The 18,948-nt window shown below is 36.3% G+C and overlaps 1 long non-coding RNA gene across 6 annotated transcripts in view, besides 1 other annotated feature; it reads left to right on the forward strand.

Moving 5' to 3' along the window:
• LOC101927605 (uncharacterized) overlaps positions 1-18,948 on the forward strand; it is a 187,474-nt gene that overhangs the window by 96,917 nt on the left and 71,609 nt on the right. For all 6 annotated transcript variants that reach the window (XR_001752229.1, XR_001752231.1, XR_002957906.2 and 3 more), the window contains one exon: positions 16,038-16,125. This is a non-coding gene — a long non-coding RNA (uncharacterized LOC101927605). The remainder of the gene's footprint in view (positions 1-16,037; positions 16,126-18,948) is intronic.
• Positions 2,465-2,964: an enhancer, noted in NCBI's record as "NANOG-H3K4me1 hESC enhancer chr16:60493067-60493566 (GRCh37/hg19 assembly coordinates)". NCBI's record gives its function as "activates a minimal SCP1, AML or CMV promoter by ChIP-STARR-seq in primed H9 embryonic stem cells {active_cell/tissue: H9 hESC(primed)}" and the evidence as "EXISTENCE:reporter gene assay evidence [ECO:0000049][PMID:30033119]".

An 18,948-nucleotide genomic window follows, 5' to 3' on the forward strand; every position in this document is an offset into this window, starting at 1 on the left:
CAGAATTTGTTATTGGTCTATTCAGGGATTCAACTCCTTCCTGGTTTAGTTCTGCCTTTAGTTTTATTCCTAAAGAAGATATGTGTACATATGTGTGTGTATGTATATATAGTTAAGTGCAACTATATATATTTAGTTTACAGTTATTTGTATATATGATCTATTCTATTATTTTAAATTTTATTAAAAATGTGTATTATCGGCCGGGCGCGGTGGCTCACGCCTGTAATCCCAGCACTTTGGGAGGCCGAGGCGGGCGGATCACGAGGTCAGGAGATCGAGACCATCCCGGCTAAAACGGTGAAACCCCGTCTCTACTAAAAATACAAAAAATTAGCCGGGCGTAGTGGCGGGCGCCTGTAGTCCCAGCTACTTGGGAGGCTGAGGCAGGAGAATGGCGTGAACCCGGGAGGCGGAGCTTGCAGTGAGCCGAGATTGCGCCACTGCACTCCAGCCTGGGCGACAGAGTGAGACTCCGTCTCAAAAAAAAAAAAAAAAAAAAAAATGTGTATTATCATGAATGTTAATATTTTTCACTTAATATTTTTGTTGTCATTCATCCATATTGATGCTAGTGGTAAGGCTTTATTTATTAAGACTGTTTTATTATGTTCAATTATTTTATTATGTTACAGTTTATTCATTCATTTACTCTCCCATCAATAGGCATTAAGATTGTTTCCCAAACTATCGCAAGGACAAAAAACCAAACACCGCATGTTCTCACTCATAGGTGGGAATTGAACAATGAGAACACATGGACACAGGAAGGGAAACATCACACACCGGGGCCTGTTGTGGGGTAGGGGGTGGGGAGAGGGATAGCATTAGGAGATATACCTAATGTTAAATGACGAGTTAATGGGTGCAGCACACAAACATGGCACATGCATACATATGTAACTAACCTGCACGTTGTGCACATGTACCCTAAGACTTAAAGTATAATAATAAAAAAATTATTTCCAATATTTTGCATAAACAATGCAGCTGTGATCATACTTACGTCATTTAATATACATGTTCAAAAGATTCATTTCCATATATACTTCAGATGGGATTACTTTATAAGTAATTGTTGTGGACAAGAAAAGCAAGCCTATACCCAGATAAGTACCTGTTCTTATGTGAATGAGCTTCTAGCTCTCATAATGAAAGGGATCCACCTTGATATGCAGTGACTGGTTGGCACCTTGAACAGTAATGCTTGACATTGGTCATTCTTGCTGGCAACTTAAATGTTCAGATATGGCTAAATCTGCCTGGATGAGTAGGAACCATGCTGTTGGACCCATCAGAAGCCTCCATCTCTGTCACTATAGCTATTCTGTTTGTGTGCCTGTAATGGCAGTTTTGAGATAATTAATGGCAAAGCTTGGCGAATAGCAACTAAGCAAGTGATTTTGTGTACTTGATTGTTCAGTGTCTTTTCCCTGATGGATTTTTGTTTTGGTGGACATTAACTAAAAGAAAAATCACCACACTTCCAGCCTGCTTCTTTATACCTGCATCTAACGTGGTCTTCCTTGTCTCAGAGCTTTGAGTCTTTTTTCCTTTTAGGCATCTGACAAGCTGGCCAGCCCTTTTGCCATTTTCCATGACTCTCTAAATATTCTCAGCTCAGGCCATTTCTCCTTCAACATAAATTACAGAATCAAGGGGCACCTCTTGAACTTCTGTTTGGATTTTTGTTTGTTCATTTGTTTTGCCAGAGTGGAGGCATTTTTAATTTATTTTATGTATTTATTTGTGTGTTTTAATTTATTATCATTATTATTATTATTATTATTATTATTATTATTATTATTATTTTGAGACAGTCTTACTCTGTCTCTCAGGCTAGAGTGCAACCTCCACCTCCCAGGGTCAAGTGATTCTCGTGCCCCAGCCACCTGAGTAGCTGGGATTCCAAGTATTCACAACCATAGCCAGCTAATCTTTTGTATTTTTAGTGGAGACTGGGTTTCCCCATGTTGGCCAGGCTGGTCTTGAACTTCTGGCCTCAAGTGATCCACCTGCCTCAATCTCCCAAACTGTGGGGATTACAAGAATGAGTCACTGTGCCCAGCCCTCTTCAACTTCTGCCCATTGAAAAGATTTTCCCTTGGCACCATCTCTCAAGGTCATGCCTGAGTATATAGCTTTACTCAATCTGACATCCATTTTTGGCTTGCATACCACATACTGAGCTGGCCCATCCATAAAGCATGTTTTGAATTTATTTCCTTATTTTGGTGGTTGCACAGGACCCTTTCATATGGCATAGGTTTGTCTTGAGGGAGAGATCCTGGTATAATAGTGACTTGTGACGTGGGGTTTTAGGCTTACTCAATTTGTTCTTGCCCTGTGGTCTTGCTCAAGCTTGATCCTGGATATACCATTTTCATCACCTGGTGAATTGCTGCTGGGCCTGCCCAAATGTGTTGCTTGCTAGGTCTGACAGAACACAACTCATCAGGCCGGGCATGGTGGCTCAAGCCTGTAATCCTAACACTTTGGGAGGCCGAGGCGGGTGGATCATCTGAGGTTAGGAGTTCGAGACCAGCCTGGCCAACATGGCAAAACCAAGTCTCTACTAAAAATACAAAAATTAGCTGGGCATGGTGGTGGGTGCCTGTAATCCCAGCTACTTGGGAGGCCGAGGCAAGCATTTGAACTGGGGAGGCAGAGGTTGCAGTGAGCAGAGATTGCTCGACTGCACTCCAGCCTCGGCAACAGAGTGAAACTCTCAAAAAAAAAAAAAAAAGTTCTTTTACTTTCCCAAGACACTAATGGTCAAGCATTTTGTCTTTACCTTTACCAAGACCCGTTAATGCACTAGGAGCTGTTTATAAAGGTTGTCTAATACTCCACTGATAATCACATGGACTCACTCCTGAACTGTGATTTTCTCACTGGGAAGCTACATGCCAGCACATAACATCTTTTCTCACCACTGATATTTCCACCACTACAGGGTCTGTTGCATCATATGGTCCAAGCACTAGGCATGCTTGACACTAGTCTGCCCCTCCTGGAGAGTCATTCCTTGCTTTTGGTCTCACTCAATGCTGGAAATTTGAAGCTGTGAGGCTAAAGCAGGAGTGCAAAGTGTCAAATATGTTCACTGCAGAATCTGAACAGTCTTACCGGGTGTTGTGGTTCTTTCTTTGTGGTAGAGGATACAAGATGCGGCAGTTTGCCTCTTACTTTGAAGGGTATATTCCTGCATACCCCCGATCACTAGACCTTTAAAAACTTTACTGATGTGATAGACCCCTAACGTGCACAGGTTACAAATCTGAAAACTGGCTCGTATCTAGAAACTAGGCAAGGTTTGGTTTGTTTAGTTTTTAACTAAGCCAACTACCCTCAGTTCTCTCTGCATCCATTCTTGCTTTCCTTTGATTTTGTATTAAGCACCACCCTGATTGGCTGTCTGTCCACTTGTCTTCTGTCAGTGCTGTATTTTATGGAACATCTTCAGAACTCTGTGTGGATCAAGACCTCTCACCTGCTACTCCCACACTGTCAGTTTTTAAGTCATTTTGAACCCCTGGGTTCCAGAAGGCTTCTATTGATTTGTGGCCCCCACATCCTCATTGCTATGATTAATGAGTAAAATTTTAGGATAGCGTCTTTTACTCAGTGCTGGCCTGCTTAGAAGATAACCGCTATGACACACTGACACAGATTGTCTGATTGTCTTGACCCTGATTGTCTGTCATGAGAATATTATGACTTCGGTGAATAGTGTCCTCTTAGCTTTCTCTAGAAACATAATACTTCTGGCCTTACGTAATGTAACCACTGTAACATCCTTACTTACCTGAACCTTTTACTTCCTTCTTTAAGCATCTGTCCTTGTAATTTAAATCTCTCAACTTGGTTCAGAGTAGGTCATCACTTTCCCCTAGCTTCTAGAAGCTATGCTACCTGCAAATTTTCTCCATCCCCTAGGAACTTGCCAGAGTTTTAAATTCCTTATCTCAAGAGAGTAGCCCCAAACTGATGATTCTTTCTTATCAAGCCCTATGTTCCAGATCCTTTGATCAAATGCCATCAACATTCAGTCTGGTATGTGCTGGCTAATTCTTGTGGGTCCTTTGAAGTATTCTAGTACTTCAAAGTATTGTCTCTATTGTCAGGCCTAGCGTGTCCGTGGCTGGGTTATTGGCTTAATAGGCATAAGTGGAGCTGGAACACATCTGGGTGAGTATCCAAGCTGCCTTGTGGCAGACAGACCTATGCAGTCTGTCCTCATACAGGGGAGTGTTAGCTCTTTCTAGCGAGGGGTACATTGATTCTGCTGGCCCTAAAAGTTAAGAGCAATCTGGAGAACAAACATCTTTGGAGCACTCACCTATATGCTCCCATCGTATTTGTCAGGGTCCAAGTTTTTCCCAACAGAGCCCTTGGCCATGGCTTAGCTGATGTAATTCAATCACCTTTGAAGTTTGATGACAATGGCAATGCTGTTCTAAATTTGGTTCTCAGGTTTTATACCCTCCTACTGTAAGATATAAGGGCCTCTTTCTATACTACCAACTTTCTAACTCACTCATTTTCAGGCTTAGGATTTTATTTATTATTTAGATCTTATGTAAATTATTTAACATTTTTTCTTCAATTTCTAAATAGCTGGGAATTTTACCTTTTTGTTGTACACATGTAATAGAACTGAATCAGGTTTAGCTAACATGCCTGATTTAATACAAGTTCCTTAAATCTTATTGAGTTTTTCTGTATTCCTTAGTAGATGATTAATTTTATAGTCTATACCTACCTGCACAGGGAAGGTAATATATCACCTACTTTTTGGGTGCATAACTATAATTGCCTTAGTTTATGCTTGTGATCTCTGAAATGTATATGTTTCTGTCCTTTCTGACATTTTGATTTCTTTTTTTAAAAAATTCAACTTTTATTATAGATGAAAGGATACACATACAGATTTGTTACACAGATAAATTACATGACACTGAGGCTTGGAGTCCCAACTATCCCATCACACAGTCTATAAGCATGGTCCCCAACAAGTGATTCTATGCATCCCTCCCCCTCCCTCCCCCATCTAGTGAGCCACTCTGTGTCTATTGTTCTCATCTTTGCAATCATGTGTATTCAATGTTTAGTTCCCACTTATAAGTGAGAACATTTCATTTTCTGTGCTTGCATTAGGTTGCACAGGGTAATGGCCGTCAGCTCCATCCATGTTTCATGGGCATGATTCTGTTGTTTTTTATGGCTGTATAGTATCCCATGGTGTATATGTACCCCATTTTCTTTATCCAGTGTACCGTTGATAGATACTTAGCTTGATTCCATGTTGTTGCTATTGTGACTAGCACTGCATTGAACATATGAGTACATGTGTCTTTATGATAGAATAAATTATTTTCTTTTGGGTACATACCCAGTAATGGGATTGCTGAGTCGAACAGTAGTTCTATTTTACATTCTTTGAGAAATCTCCAAACTGCTTTTCACAGTGGCTAGACTAATTTACATTACAAGCAATTGTATATAAATGTTCATTTTTCTCTGCAACCTTGCCAACATCCATTATTTTTTGACATTTTAATAATTGCCATTCTGACTGGTATGAGATGGTATCTCATTGTGGTTTTAATTTGCATTTCTCTGATGACTAAGTGATATTGAGATTTTTTTCATATATTTGTTGGCTACTTGAATGTCTCTTTTTGAGAAGTGCCTGTTCGTGTATCTTGCCTGTTTTTTAGTTGGAATGTTTGATTTTTGTTTGCTGATTTACGCTTCTTATAGGTTCTGGATATTTGACCTTTGTCAGACGCATAGCTTGCAAATATTTTCTCCATTCTGTAGGCTGTTTTTTCTTCTGTTGGAAATTTCTTTTGCTCTGCAGAAGTTCTTCATTTTAAATAAGTTCCATTTTTTCTCAATTTTTGTTTTTGTTACAATTGCTTTTGGTGACTTAGCCATAAATTCTTTGCCAAAGCTGACTTCAAGATGGGTATTTCTTAGATTTTCTTCTAGGATTTTTATAATTTGAGGTCTTAAATTTAAATCTTTAATCCATCTTGAGTTAGTTTTCATATAGAGTAAGAGGTAGGGGTCCTGTTTCATTCTTCTGCATATAGATAACCAGTTATCCCAGCATCATTTATTGAATAGGGAGCCCTTTCCCCATTGTTTATTTTTGTTGATATTGATATTGTCATAGATCAGATGGTTGTAGGTGTGTGGATTTATTTCTGTGTCTTATATTCTTTTCCACTCATCTATTGTCTGTTTTTGTACCAGTACCATGCCGTTTTAATTACTGTAGCCTTATAGTATAGTTTGACATCAAGTAATGTGATGCCTCCAGCTTTGATCTTTCTGCTTAGTATTGCTTTGGAAATGCAGGCTCTTTTTGGTTCTAAATTAATTTCTAAATTTAAATTCATGCTTAAGTTCCTGCCGATGCAGTGGGGCCCCTATGTATTCATGAGGGTAAGGTCCCAGCAGGGGTGGGGCAGAGGCAGGGGGCTACAACTTCCATGCACACACTTGTATGGCAGCAGCAGTTGCAGTGTGACAGGGCCCTAAAATTCTTGATTCTAAGTTAGTTACTTTAATTTAATGAAATTAAATTAGAATTCTTGATTCTAAGTTACTTTAATTTAATGAAAGAATATTTGTTTGTCTTCTTGCATCCTAGCTAATGTTGAATATTCTGGTTTCAATCTAACTCTTGCTGCTTTGTAGGTAATCTACTTTTTGGTTTTTTTCTCTTTGTAAGCTATTCAAATGTTCCCAGTTCTCTTATTCTTATTGTTATTCAATCTCTACTATATGGTGTGTAGGTGAACCCCTCTCTGAATCTACTCTCCTTTATCAACATCTAGGAGTTCCAGTTAAAAGAAGTATTTTACATTTTTGAAAAAATTTTGAATGTTATATCTCCATTATGGCTTCCAAAATTTACTTCTTTCATCTCCCTCTCTAACTGTCTCTCTCTCTGAACTCCCTGTTCTCTGAGTGTTATCACTTCTACCTCCATTCTCCATATATCCTATCTCTTTAAATGTATAATACAATATAAAAATATATTAAAATATATTAATTTATGCATTTTCCTTTTGCATTCTATACAATGCTTTCTTCTAATTCCTTATTGCATCTGTATGTATTTTAACCCCAATATTATGTTTAATACCTAACACTTTCGCTTAGCTTTTCCCAGGTTTTAAAAATATATATTAATAATAAATTCCCTTATTTCTTTTAGCATATTTTTAGATAAATTCAGAAGTATTTATCTCTGTATTCTAATGTATCTGTCTGTGATGGAATCAACAATCCAATATGTTTTTCTTTTCCTTTGAAATAATTATGTTTTTCAAATGCTCTGTTATTCTAGTCTGTGACTTTATTTTCCCCTGGAATATCAAATATTTTTTTAAAACAACAACTGGCTACATTGCTCATCTATTACTCCTCATGGTACTTTAACAAGAGCTCTCTGAGTCATTATACGAATATGAGTAGGTATTATTTGTCCTTCAGTATTTTTATTTCACCATCCTCCCACAGCCATGCCTTATTGTCTCCTACCCCAGGCCAAAGCCACTACCCCTGCCACACATAATGGTTCAAAGTAGCCCCATTAGTTGCTCTAAGGATTTTTCTCAGGCTCTAATTCTCTTCCTTGGTGTCTCTCTTTCATAGATAATTTATGTTTGATATGGGGAAGGGAGACATAGTAGTTTTACTAGTTCAGCAGATTAGTATAAAATGGAAGGACAATGATTTGCAGCCCTTACTATATAGTAACTCATATGTGTAAGTGGGATATATAAACATGTTTTACCAACTTTGACATTGCCTTTTCATTCTAAGATAAAACACAATCAAGAGATTAGCATTTTAAGATATTTAGCTGATGTCAACTCTTTTCTCTGAGGGCAGGACATTTAAGCAGAGACCACAGTGAAATAAAGGCATAAACTAGTTAAAGTTCTAGTAAAAAACACGCAGTCTAAATGAATGAATCTGAAAGTTCAAACCCTTAAAGTTGGATGATCTTGATGTTTCAGAAGAAAACAGAAGGGCCCTTATATGACTAGAATAGATTAAGTGGGAATAGTGGTATATAGAAAAGGTGGAAGACAGACAACAGTTAGATTGCACAGGGGAGGGATTCACAAACTTTTTCTGTAAATGTCCAGACAGTAAATATTTTAGGCTTTGTAGGCCATATGGTTTTCACGGCAATTACTCATCTCTCCTGTAATAGCATGAAAACAGTCATAGACAAAACTGAAACACATGAGTGTAGCTATGTTCCAATAAAACTTCATTTACAAGAAAAGTCAATGGGCACATGAAATAACAGACAAAATAGATAGATTGGGCTAAATCAAAATTTAAAAGTTCTGTGCATCAAAGAACATGATCAACAGACTATAAAGGCAACCTATTGATGGGAGAATACCTGCACATTATATATCTGATAAGTGGTTATTATTAATAATATTTAAGAACTCCTACAAGTCAACAGTAACAAAAATCAATCTGATTAAAAAATGGGAAAGGACATGAATAGACATTTCCCTTAGGAAGATACACAATGGCCAACAAGCATATGAACTGATGCTCAACGTCACTAATCATTAGGGAAATGTAAATCAAAACCACAATGAAATACAGACTCATACCCATGAGGTTCTGGATTATAAAAAAGGAAAGAAAAGAAGTATTGGCTAGTATGTGGAGAAATTAGAATCTTTGTGTAGTCTTGATGGAAATGTAAAATGATGAAACTGCTATGGTAAACATTAGGGCAATTACTCAAAAAACTAAAAATAAAATTACCATATGATCTAGCAATTCCACTTCTGGGCATATACTCAAAAGAACTGAAATCAGGGTCTCAAAGAGATATTTGTGCAATCATGTTAATACCAGGATTATTTACAATAACCAAGGGTTGGAAGCAATCTAAATGTCCACCACTGGATAAATAAACAAAATGTGGCATATATATACAAAGGGGTATTACTCAACCTTAAAAAAGAAGAAAATTCTGACACATGTTACAACATGATGCACCTCTAGGACATCATGCTATTAAAATAAATAAGTCAGAAAAATACAGCCGCTGTATAATTCCATTTATATGAGGTAACTAGAATAGTCAAATTTATAAATACAGACAAAAGAATGATGTTTTCCAGGATCTGGTGGGAGAAGGAACTGAGAGGTGTTTAATGGCTTTAGAGTTTCACTTTTACAAGATGAAAGCATTCCGGAGATTGGATTCATGACAATATAAATGTACTTAACACTACTGTACCATACACTAAAAAATAAATAACATGGTAAAGTTTATGTTATATGTATTTTACTATAATTACAAAAATAAACATAGGCAATGGGCTGGATTTGGCTTATGGGTCATAATTTGCTGACTTCTGGTGTAGGGCTTTGTAAGTCATAATAGGGAATGTGGATTTTATTGTTAAGTGTGAAAAAGAAGATTATAGGATGGTTTCAGCACAGGAATTGCAAGATGTAAGTGCCACTTGTAAAAAATCTTTCTGATTATTCTGAGAAGAAGAGAGTGTAATCAAAAATGTGGAAAATGGAGTAGTGTTTCTATACATTAATAACAAACTTTTCAAAAAAGAAACAAGGAAAACAACCCTATTTACAATAACTATAAAAAATAAAATACCAGGAATAAATTTAACCAAGGTAGTGAAAGAGCTGTACACTGAAAACTATAAGACATTAATGAAAGAAATAAAAAAAAGACTCAAATAAATGGAAAGGTATCCTGTGTTCATGAATTGGAAGAATAAATATTGTTAAAATGACCATACTAACCAAAGTGATCTACAAATTCAGTGGAAAAGCTATCAAAACTTCAATATTTTTTTCATAGAGAAATACATCTTAAAATTAATGTGGAACCACAAAAATCTTGAAATGGCTAAGGGAATTATAAACAAACAAACAAAATAAAACAAAGCTAGAAGCATCACATTACCTGATTTTGAACTATATTGCAAAAGATCAATAATTAAAACAGCATAGTACTGGCATAAAAATAGACTCATTGGCCAGTGGAACAGAAAAGAGTGCCCAGAAATGAACCCAAGCATGTATGGTCAATTGTTTTTTCACAAAGGTGCCAAAAATACACAATGGGAAATTAATAGTCTCTTTAATAAATAATGTTAGGAAAAATGGATGCCATATGCAGAAGAAGGAAATTGTACCTTTAGCTCACACTATATGCAAAAATCAACTCAAAATTAATTAAAGACTTAAACATAAAACCTGAAACTATAAAACTACTGAAAAACTATACGGAAAAAAATACTGTATTGGTCTGAATAATATTTTGTATTTGACCCCAAAGTCCCAGGGTCAAATGGGATTGCAAATGGGATTTCATCAAAATTAAAAGCCTGTGTAAAAGCAGCATGAAGTGACAATTTTAAGCTTCAGGGAAAATACTTGAAGCCATACATTAAAAATGGGCAAAGGACCTGAATAGACATTTCTCAAAAGAAGAAATATAAATGGCCAGCAGATATATTTTTTAAAATGTTTAACATCACTAATCATTAGGAAAATGAAAATTAAAACCACAATTGTATATCACCTCACACTTGTCAGAATAACTATTATCAAAAAGACAAACAACAAGAGATGTTAGTCAGGACATACAGAAAAGGGAGCCCTTGTACACTTTTGGTAGGGATGTAAATTAGTGAAACCATATGGAAAACTGTTTAAAAGTTCCTTGAAAAGTTGAAAATAGAATTACCACATGATCTAGCAATCCCACTTCTGGATATTTACCCTCAAAAATTTGAATAATATGTCAAAAGATGTCTGCACTCCTGTGTTCATTGCAGCACTCTTCACAACAGCCAAATTATAGAGTTAACAAACTGACTGTCCATCAATGGAAGGGTGAGTAAATGAAATGTGGTATGTGTACACAATGGAATACTATTTAGCCTTTAAAAAGGAAGAAAAAAACTTATTTGTGATAATACAGGTTAAACTGGAGAACATTAAGGTAAGTAAAATAAGCCAGGCTCAGAAAAACAAATGTTATATGTTCTCACTTATATGTGGAATCTAAAACAATTGAACTCAAAGAAACAGAGAGTAGAATGGTGGTTACCAGAGGCTGGGAGTTGGGGGAGGAAATGGAAAGGTGATAGTCAAAGAATAAAAAGTCTAAATTAGGTGGAATACGTTTAGAAAATTTTTTTGTAATATATTAAACAGTGTGGTTAATACAGTAAATAATAATGTTTTGTACATTTCAAAATCACTGAGAGTAAATTTCAAATGTTATTACCACAAAAAAGATAAGCATTGAGGTGATGGATATGTTAATTAGCTTGATTTCATTAATTCACATTGTATTCATGGATTATAGTGTCACCTTGTACCCTATAAACACAATTATGGAAGAAGAGAAATCAGAAAGCTATTGAAAAAGTTCAGATGAGACAGGCTAGTAATTGAAAAATGTTGAAATGTAAGAGTGAAGATATATTTTTTAAATAATGCATATAGAACATGCTTATGGGTTATACATAAAGAATGAAAAAGAGAATCAATAATTAATTTCTGGATTTTGGTCAGAAGAAGCCAGTGAATGGTGGAATTATTTGAGTTCAAGAAATACATAGAATGAAAAGATTGGAAAGAAAATCAAGGGTTCTTCTTGTGTATGCTAAGTGAATGTCTATTTTATATACAAAAGGAGATGTCCAAGGCATGAGCTGGGACATGTCATTTTTGAACTCAGGGAAAAGTGAAAGCTAAAGATACACACAAACATACACACACACACACACAAGAGAGAGAGAAAGAGAGGTGGGAGGAAAGAGTTGGCAGCATGTATTTATGTTTTTCAAGTCATGTGATTGAGAAGAAAAGGAGTTTCCAGGAAAGAAGCAGTGAATATGACAGAAGGATGATCGAAAAAAATGGCAGTGTCCTGGAAATAAAGTGAATAAATGAGTCTTTGCTTGCAACACCAGCTAAATGATGACAAGATGCCAAGTTAGATGTGAACTGATAAGTGATCAATGAGTTTGCAAAATGATAGTCACTGAAAGCAATCTTGTTAAGGTCTTCAGCGGATTGATGGGGACGAAGAAGAAAGCTTAATAGGGTTGGCTAAAGAGAAAATGCAAAGATAAAAAGTTGAAACATAACATATAGATGTCTGTGATATTTTAAAGCTAATATTGACATATGATCCTTTTCATAATTTAGTTGTTTATTGAGTTATAATTTACATACAGGAAAATTCATCTTTTTTGTTATGCAGTTGTATAAATTTTCACAAATATGGACAGTCATTTAATTACCAGCAATCAAGATATAGAACTGGTCTATCATGCCTCCAAATTTCATCATGCTTCTTTTAGTCAAGGTAGTGCTGGTAATGTCAAAATTACTAAGTCTCAGCCGGGAGTAGTGGCTCATGCCTGTAATCCCAGCACTTTGGGAGGCCGAGGAGGGTGGATCACCTGAGGTCAGGAGTTTGAGACAAGCCTGGCCAACATGTCAAAGCCGTGCCTCTACTAAAAATACAAAAATTAGCTGGGCATGGTGGCGGGCGCCTGTAATCCCAGCCACTAGGGAGGCTGAGGCAGAAGAATAACTTGAACCTGGGAGGCGGAGGTTGCAGTGAGCCGAGATAATGCCATTGCACTCCAGCCTAGGAGACAGAGCGAGACTCCATCCTCCGCCACCAGAAAAATTTTACTAAGTCTCTAGTTTTAATGTAACATATCTCATAATAATAAACATTATATTACAGAAATTCAACCAGAAATTAACCTTGTTAATCACTGAATTGCTTTGTGAACACTATGTAAAGCAATTTTTTATGTATACGAAAGTAGACTGTGAATAAACCAAGACAGAAACTTAACAGTAAATGACTGGACAGTCATTTAAATTAGTAGTAGCTCAGAAAGTCCCTAACTATGCTGTTAAAAAGTGGAGGCAAATAATTTATGGGAAGAAGTTCTTTTAAATAATTATTCAGAGACTCTTTTATGTATAGTTTAATGAACCTTAGGAATCTTTTCTTGGTCATTTGTTAGTGATGCATGGATGTAAAATTGGGAAATATTAAATCATAGACTGAAGGAAAAATACGTGTTGTATTCACACTTTGTTTTACTATTTGTTGTACTCTAGAAGCACATAAGAAATTGTTTAAAACATTACTTTGTGTAAGAAGTATCACAAAGCTGGAATATGGAATATGATTTGGGAAATTGTTTGAAATATCTAAAGGTAATAAAAGGTGCTCAGCATTCAGAATCCCTAAAATAACCTCTACCTCACTTTAAACAGTCTGCCTCCCCTGAAGAGTAGAAAGAACAAAGGACTGATGTTTAGCCATTTTATAGTGGCAAACTGCATAAACCCATAAGTATATGTATTGTTCACATTTATTTTAAAAAATAATAGAAGAAATGAAAAATATGCCCAATTTAATCATCTGCTCTGGAAAAACACAATGACAAGTTCTTCTTCTGGTACTGATTTCAGATAGAATCCAAGTGCACATTCCTGCTCAGCGAAGAATATAATGCTTTCACACCACTTTTCTGTCCGTAAAAGCTGACAGTGGAATGAGCACGATCTTAATAATATCCTCCAAATGAAAATGAAAGTGAATGTCAAAAATAATGATGGGAGAGGGTTTCAAAGCTTGGAAGCCCAATTTTAGTGAGAGGAAAACAGCATTTCTAATAAATCCTTGTATTATTTATTTCAAAGTACCTCAGGCAGGATCTTTGTATAAAAATTGAGGCTGAAGATTTAAGGGTCGGTTTCAATAATTCTTAGAAATTAATTAATTAATATCTGTTTTCTACTCTAATGTGGGAATAAATCATAAAAATTAAAACTTTGCGGAATCCTAGTTTTCATTCTGTATCAAATCTACTACCTTTCTGCCACCTCCATGCCTCCCAATACACCGGCATAAGCCTTTTACCAACAATCCACTTGCATCTTTCAAAAAATTATCCTTTGAAGCTATTGTTTAGATCATAGACTGCAGAGAAGAAATACAAGCATTAGAAGATGAAGAGGGGCAGTATAAAAATAAAAAATTATAACATGAACACATTCAACTGCATAGTAATCAGAAGCATATAGGTCAACTAGTTGAGAAGCAAAAAACTAGAACGATACATTTCAATGGCATCATAAACTCACATTGTATTTTTCTATAAAATAATAGTAAAGAAGGATGGGCACAGTGGCTCATGCCTGTAATCCCAGAACTTTGGGAGGCCAAGGCGGGTGGATCACGAAGTCAGGAGCCCGAGACCAGCCCGGCCAACGTGGTGAAACCCTGTCTCTACTAAAAATACAAAAAATTATCCAGGCGTGGTAGCAGGCACCTGTAATCCCAGCTACTCAGGAGGCTGAGGCAGGAGAATCGCTTGAACCTGGGAGGTGGAGGTTGCAGTGAGCTGAGATCGCACCACTGCACTCCAGCCTAGGTGACAGAGCTAGACTCCATCTCAAATAATATCAATAATAATAATAATAACCTAGGCAGTTTGTGGTTCTATAAAGGAGGGGTGAAATGAAGAGAACCAAGCACTGAGTATGACGGATTTCTAGAATTCTTAAGTTCCACCCTTCAAAAGTTGTGCCATTGATGATATGTGTACCATTTATTTACTGTATTTATTTTTAGCTTATAATTTCATGATTAGTACCTCTTATTTATTATTACACCTATATTAAAATATAGGAAATAATATACCAACAGTTATCCAAATATTACCTAAAATAAGCTTGTACGATTCCTGGTAAATGTACCACTTATTGGAAAACACTGAGATAGATAAGCTTGTGACTATTTTTCCCCATTTAGTCATTACAGAATTAAGACTTGTTATGTATAAAATCCTTCACTAGGCATTGGAAAATAAAGGCTAATTGGACATTGTCTTAGTTCTTGTGGCACTCAAGATCCAGTAGGAAAAAAAAAAAAAGAAACTTTATCAATTTAGGCTGGATCATTCCTATGATCCCTTCCAACACTGATTCTATGATGTTCTGTCTCAAAGAAGCAAGTTGGAAGCCGGGCTTACAAAATATCTAGTCCTTTGACATCTCTGATATCTCTAGAAGGACTGAACTTTCATCTGATATTCAAGATCTTGAAAGAGCAATTTAAGGGAAAAAAAAGCTTCTTCCCAGAATGTATTATAAATCTATTAGATATATAGAAAGAAAAGGTCACTGAGTTAAGCGAGCCAGGAAGTTTATATTCAAGAACAATATGTGTAGTTATGAATGTAATGAAACCTTTTGCTTCAAGAATTAATTTCCCCAATGTATAGTTGGCTGAATAATTGGCCCCGTGAACGCAGACAAGCTTTCTTATTTCTCAAAAGCAATATTGGCCAGTGCTCATTTGAACGCACATGACTTTTTGTGGGATGGCACATGCCATGCTCCTGTGAAGCAAATTGAGCTTGTGGTAGTTGTCTGCAAGTGGTAGAGACATGGGAAATAGTCTGTCACTCAGCATCAATTTAAAATTTAATACCAAATATTCTTGTTGTCAAAAACTCTTAGTACATGAGTCCTAACATGGACAGTGCTTCAATTCTGATGTCACTGCCAAATTACTCTAGTTTAAGACAAAGGAGATTCAGATATTTAAGCCCTGATGCCTACTGAGGCTTGAATTTAGAGATATGCTTTCTATATTCTGAAAAATTGCTTTTGAAATGTAGTTTCTCTAAATTTATGTTTAAGATACAGGAAGCAATTTAGTATTTTGGTTCTATTAACCTCCTTTGAAACCACAAATTTGTTTTAATTTCAAGTGCTCTTACAATGACAAAGTCAAATGAGTGCTTTCTTGAGGAAAGTGTTTAGCATAATAGTAGACGGTGTTGTCATTATCAGAAGGGAGAATTTTCTGTCTCATTTGTCAACTTCACACTGTGAACCCCCAAAAGAGTTGTCTTCAAAATAATTGCCCTTGTTGCTTCTCTTTACAGAGTTCTCCCCACATTATTAATGGTATGGGAATTAGGAGAAGGTCATCTGACTCACATGGATCACCATATAATTCCTTCTGGAGAACAGGTAAGTTCTTGGTCAAAGAATTCAGGGACACTTGTCTAGACTATTTTTTAGAAAGCAATAACTCTGAAGAGTAAGAGAGATATATTTGAAATTACTGTAGCCCTTTGTCTAAGAAAGCTATATAACAGGGTGAAAAATCAGTTAAGGAGAAGGAGACAGAGAAGAAGAAGACAAGGATTGAGGGGGAGGGGGAGGATGAGGAAGAGGAGAAGGAGGAGAAGAAATAGAAGGTGGAGGAGGAGAGCAACCCTAAAAATAAAAAAAAAAAAACTTATTCTTTCTATTTTGTTATATGTGGGAATTATTGTGGACATAAGAAACAAAGAATTGAAAAAAGCCTGAGTTGTAAAGGGGGAAAACAAATAACTTTGTAATGAAATAATTTGAGGTTTGAATTTTCTTAGCCATTGGAATTTAGCCAGGGTGGTTAACTTATCTGCTCTAAGATTTCTAATTTGAAAAGATGAAAATAATATTTGGCATATTTTGGTTGATAAATTCTTAATAAAGTGTTTGGTATCTACTAAGTGCTTGAAAGGGATCTGTATAATCAATAATACCATTATCTATGGCACATAGAGGTGACATAGTCATGCTTTAGGCATAAGCAGACATTCCTGCATGATGAAACTTACAGGAATGATGCTCCCAAAGAGAAAAGCGAAGGAGTTCATACTCTTGATGACCTCCTTACTCCTTACCATCCATTAAAACTCAGGATCAGGCAAAACCTCACAAGAATATGTGGTTTCTTGAATTTATAAAACCTAAATTTTTGATATCTGGGGAAACTATTTACCACCTGATTCAGGAGTTCCCAGAAGCAACATTAACCAGAGGAACACAGCTGCCTGGATATTTTTTGCTCTTGGACAAGTAATCATAACTTGAAAAGATTAGTGGGTCTTGGCACTACATATTTAACCTTGACTCTTTTTGACTATAACATCACTTTTAGCCACTAATTAGTAAAAATTAGCTCCTACCATGGGTATCTTTTTTATTTTGGAATGGATATCTGTTAGTCTTTCCACTAGCATTTTTTTTCTTGGATACTATTGGCCCTGCTTTTAGAAACAAATGAAATCTTTAAACTTGAAGTGAACCTTAAGCTAATCAATGTTAGAGGTTGTCAAGTTTTTTTAAAATAAATCAATATCTCCAATAAAAGTCTCAAGCAGATGACTAATACATAAAACAGATGAAAGTAAACTTGCTTTGTTTGAAGTAGCATGAGTTTGGTGTTCTATTCACATATCCTTTCTTCACTGCACAAAATCTGTTATTTTTGTTGGTCTTATGAGCTTCCCATTGCATAGAACATGGCTGTACAGAGAGTTGTGGCCCGAAGTTTTGGATTACATGAAGTTTGCCAGGTGAAGGTCATTAAGGGGAAGGTTTGAAGTGAGAATGTTATATAAACTGCATCATGTTTGCAAGCAGTTGCAGTTTGTCTGTCCAGTCCACTGCCACTGGACCATATGTAAGGTGGATATGTTTTCCAGCTGACCACCAATGGACTGTAGGAAAGTAGATATCGTGTCTAGCCCATCACCACTGGACCAATTCTGTACATCAGGTGGTTCTCCTGTCCAGCCTGTCACCACTGGACTCTCCCCTGTATGTGAGCCCCTAATAAAATGCCAAGTCTCCAAAAAAATTTCATTTTTATTTTTTATAAAATCATTGTTTTCTTTAAAGAATTATTTACACCTCAGTTCATGTATCTCTATGGAGGTTATCAGGCATGTTTCCTCTTCTGTCTCATCATCATGACAACCTAGACTGACCTGTCATATTACACTGTCCCTCTTGCCTGTTGGAATGACAGCAAGACATGTCTTATCTTTACTGTGATTTGGTTATATGGATGCTAGAGAGGGCATGATTATACATCATTGAAATCAAAAGTTGAGCTAGGTGTGGTGGTGCATGCCTGTAGTCCCAGCTATTCAGAAGGCTGAGGCAAGAGAATTGCTTGAGCCCAGGAGTTCGAGGCTGCAGTGAGCTATGATCATGCCACTGCACTCCAGGCTGAGTGACAGAGTGAAATCCTGTCTCAAAAACAAAACAAAACAAAACAAAACTAATTATTTTTTAAAATTAATAAAACCAAACAAAAAACAAAGTTTTAAGTTGTTAGGCTTAGAGTAGCTTAACATAGCATGATGCTTCCTGATAATAAAGTGAGCACACAGAGAGTAATACAGTCAAGAATCCCAGTGGCATGATTTTACTACTAGATCCAGATGGCCCAAGCCGAGATCCCACTCCCCCATATGTTTGAATACTGGTGTATTATTAGTTACTTAATAGTTTTTAGATTTATTTTACTTATTGATGCATCCTTCAGTGGTTCCTGGAAGAGACCTGAGACCCTCTCCTTCACCTCATTTTCTTCATCATTCTCTGGCTTAGACATGGATCTCATTTCATTCTAAAGTAACAGTTTTCTATAATGACATGCATTCCATAAGAACTAGCAAGATTTTCTTTGAAAGTCCATATATAGTAATTTCCAGAAAGAGAAGCTATTTATCTTTCTAAAATATTTGTCGTTCAGGAACTAGAAATGTACACAATTAACTGGCCATGACGGAGATTAATGTATCTTACAAATATAGGGGAATATCATTACCAGTCGTTTCTTCAGATTACACAACATGAATCATTTCAAAATTCACCTTGAGTATAATTTCTTAGCAAATGCTGAGAAACCAAATGTGGTATTTTCAAATTAACCTGGATATCAGAATGGAACAACACTACACACACACACACACACACACACACACACACACACACACACACACACACCCCTCA

Source organism: Homo sapiens, chromosome 16, assembly GCF_000001405.40.
Source record: "Homo sapiens chromosome 16, GRCh38.p14 Primary Assembly".
NCBI lineage: Eukaryota > Metazoa > Chordata > Mammalia > Primates > Hominidae > Homo > Homo sapiens.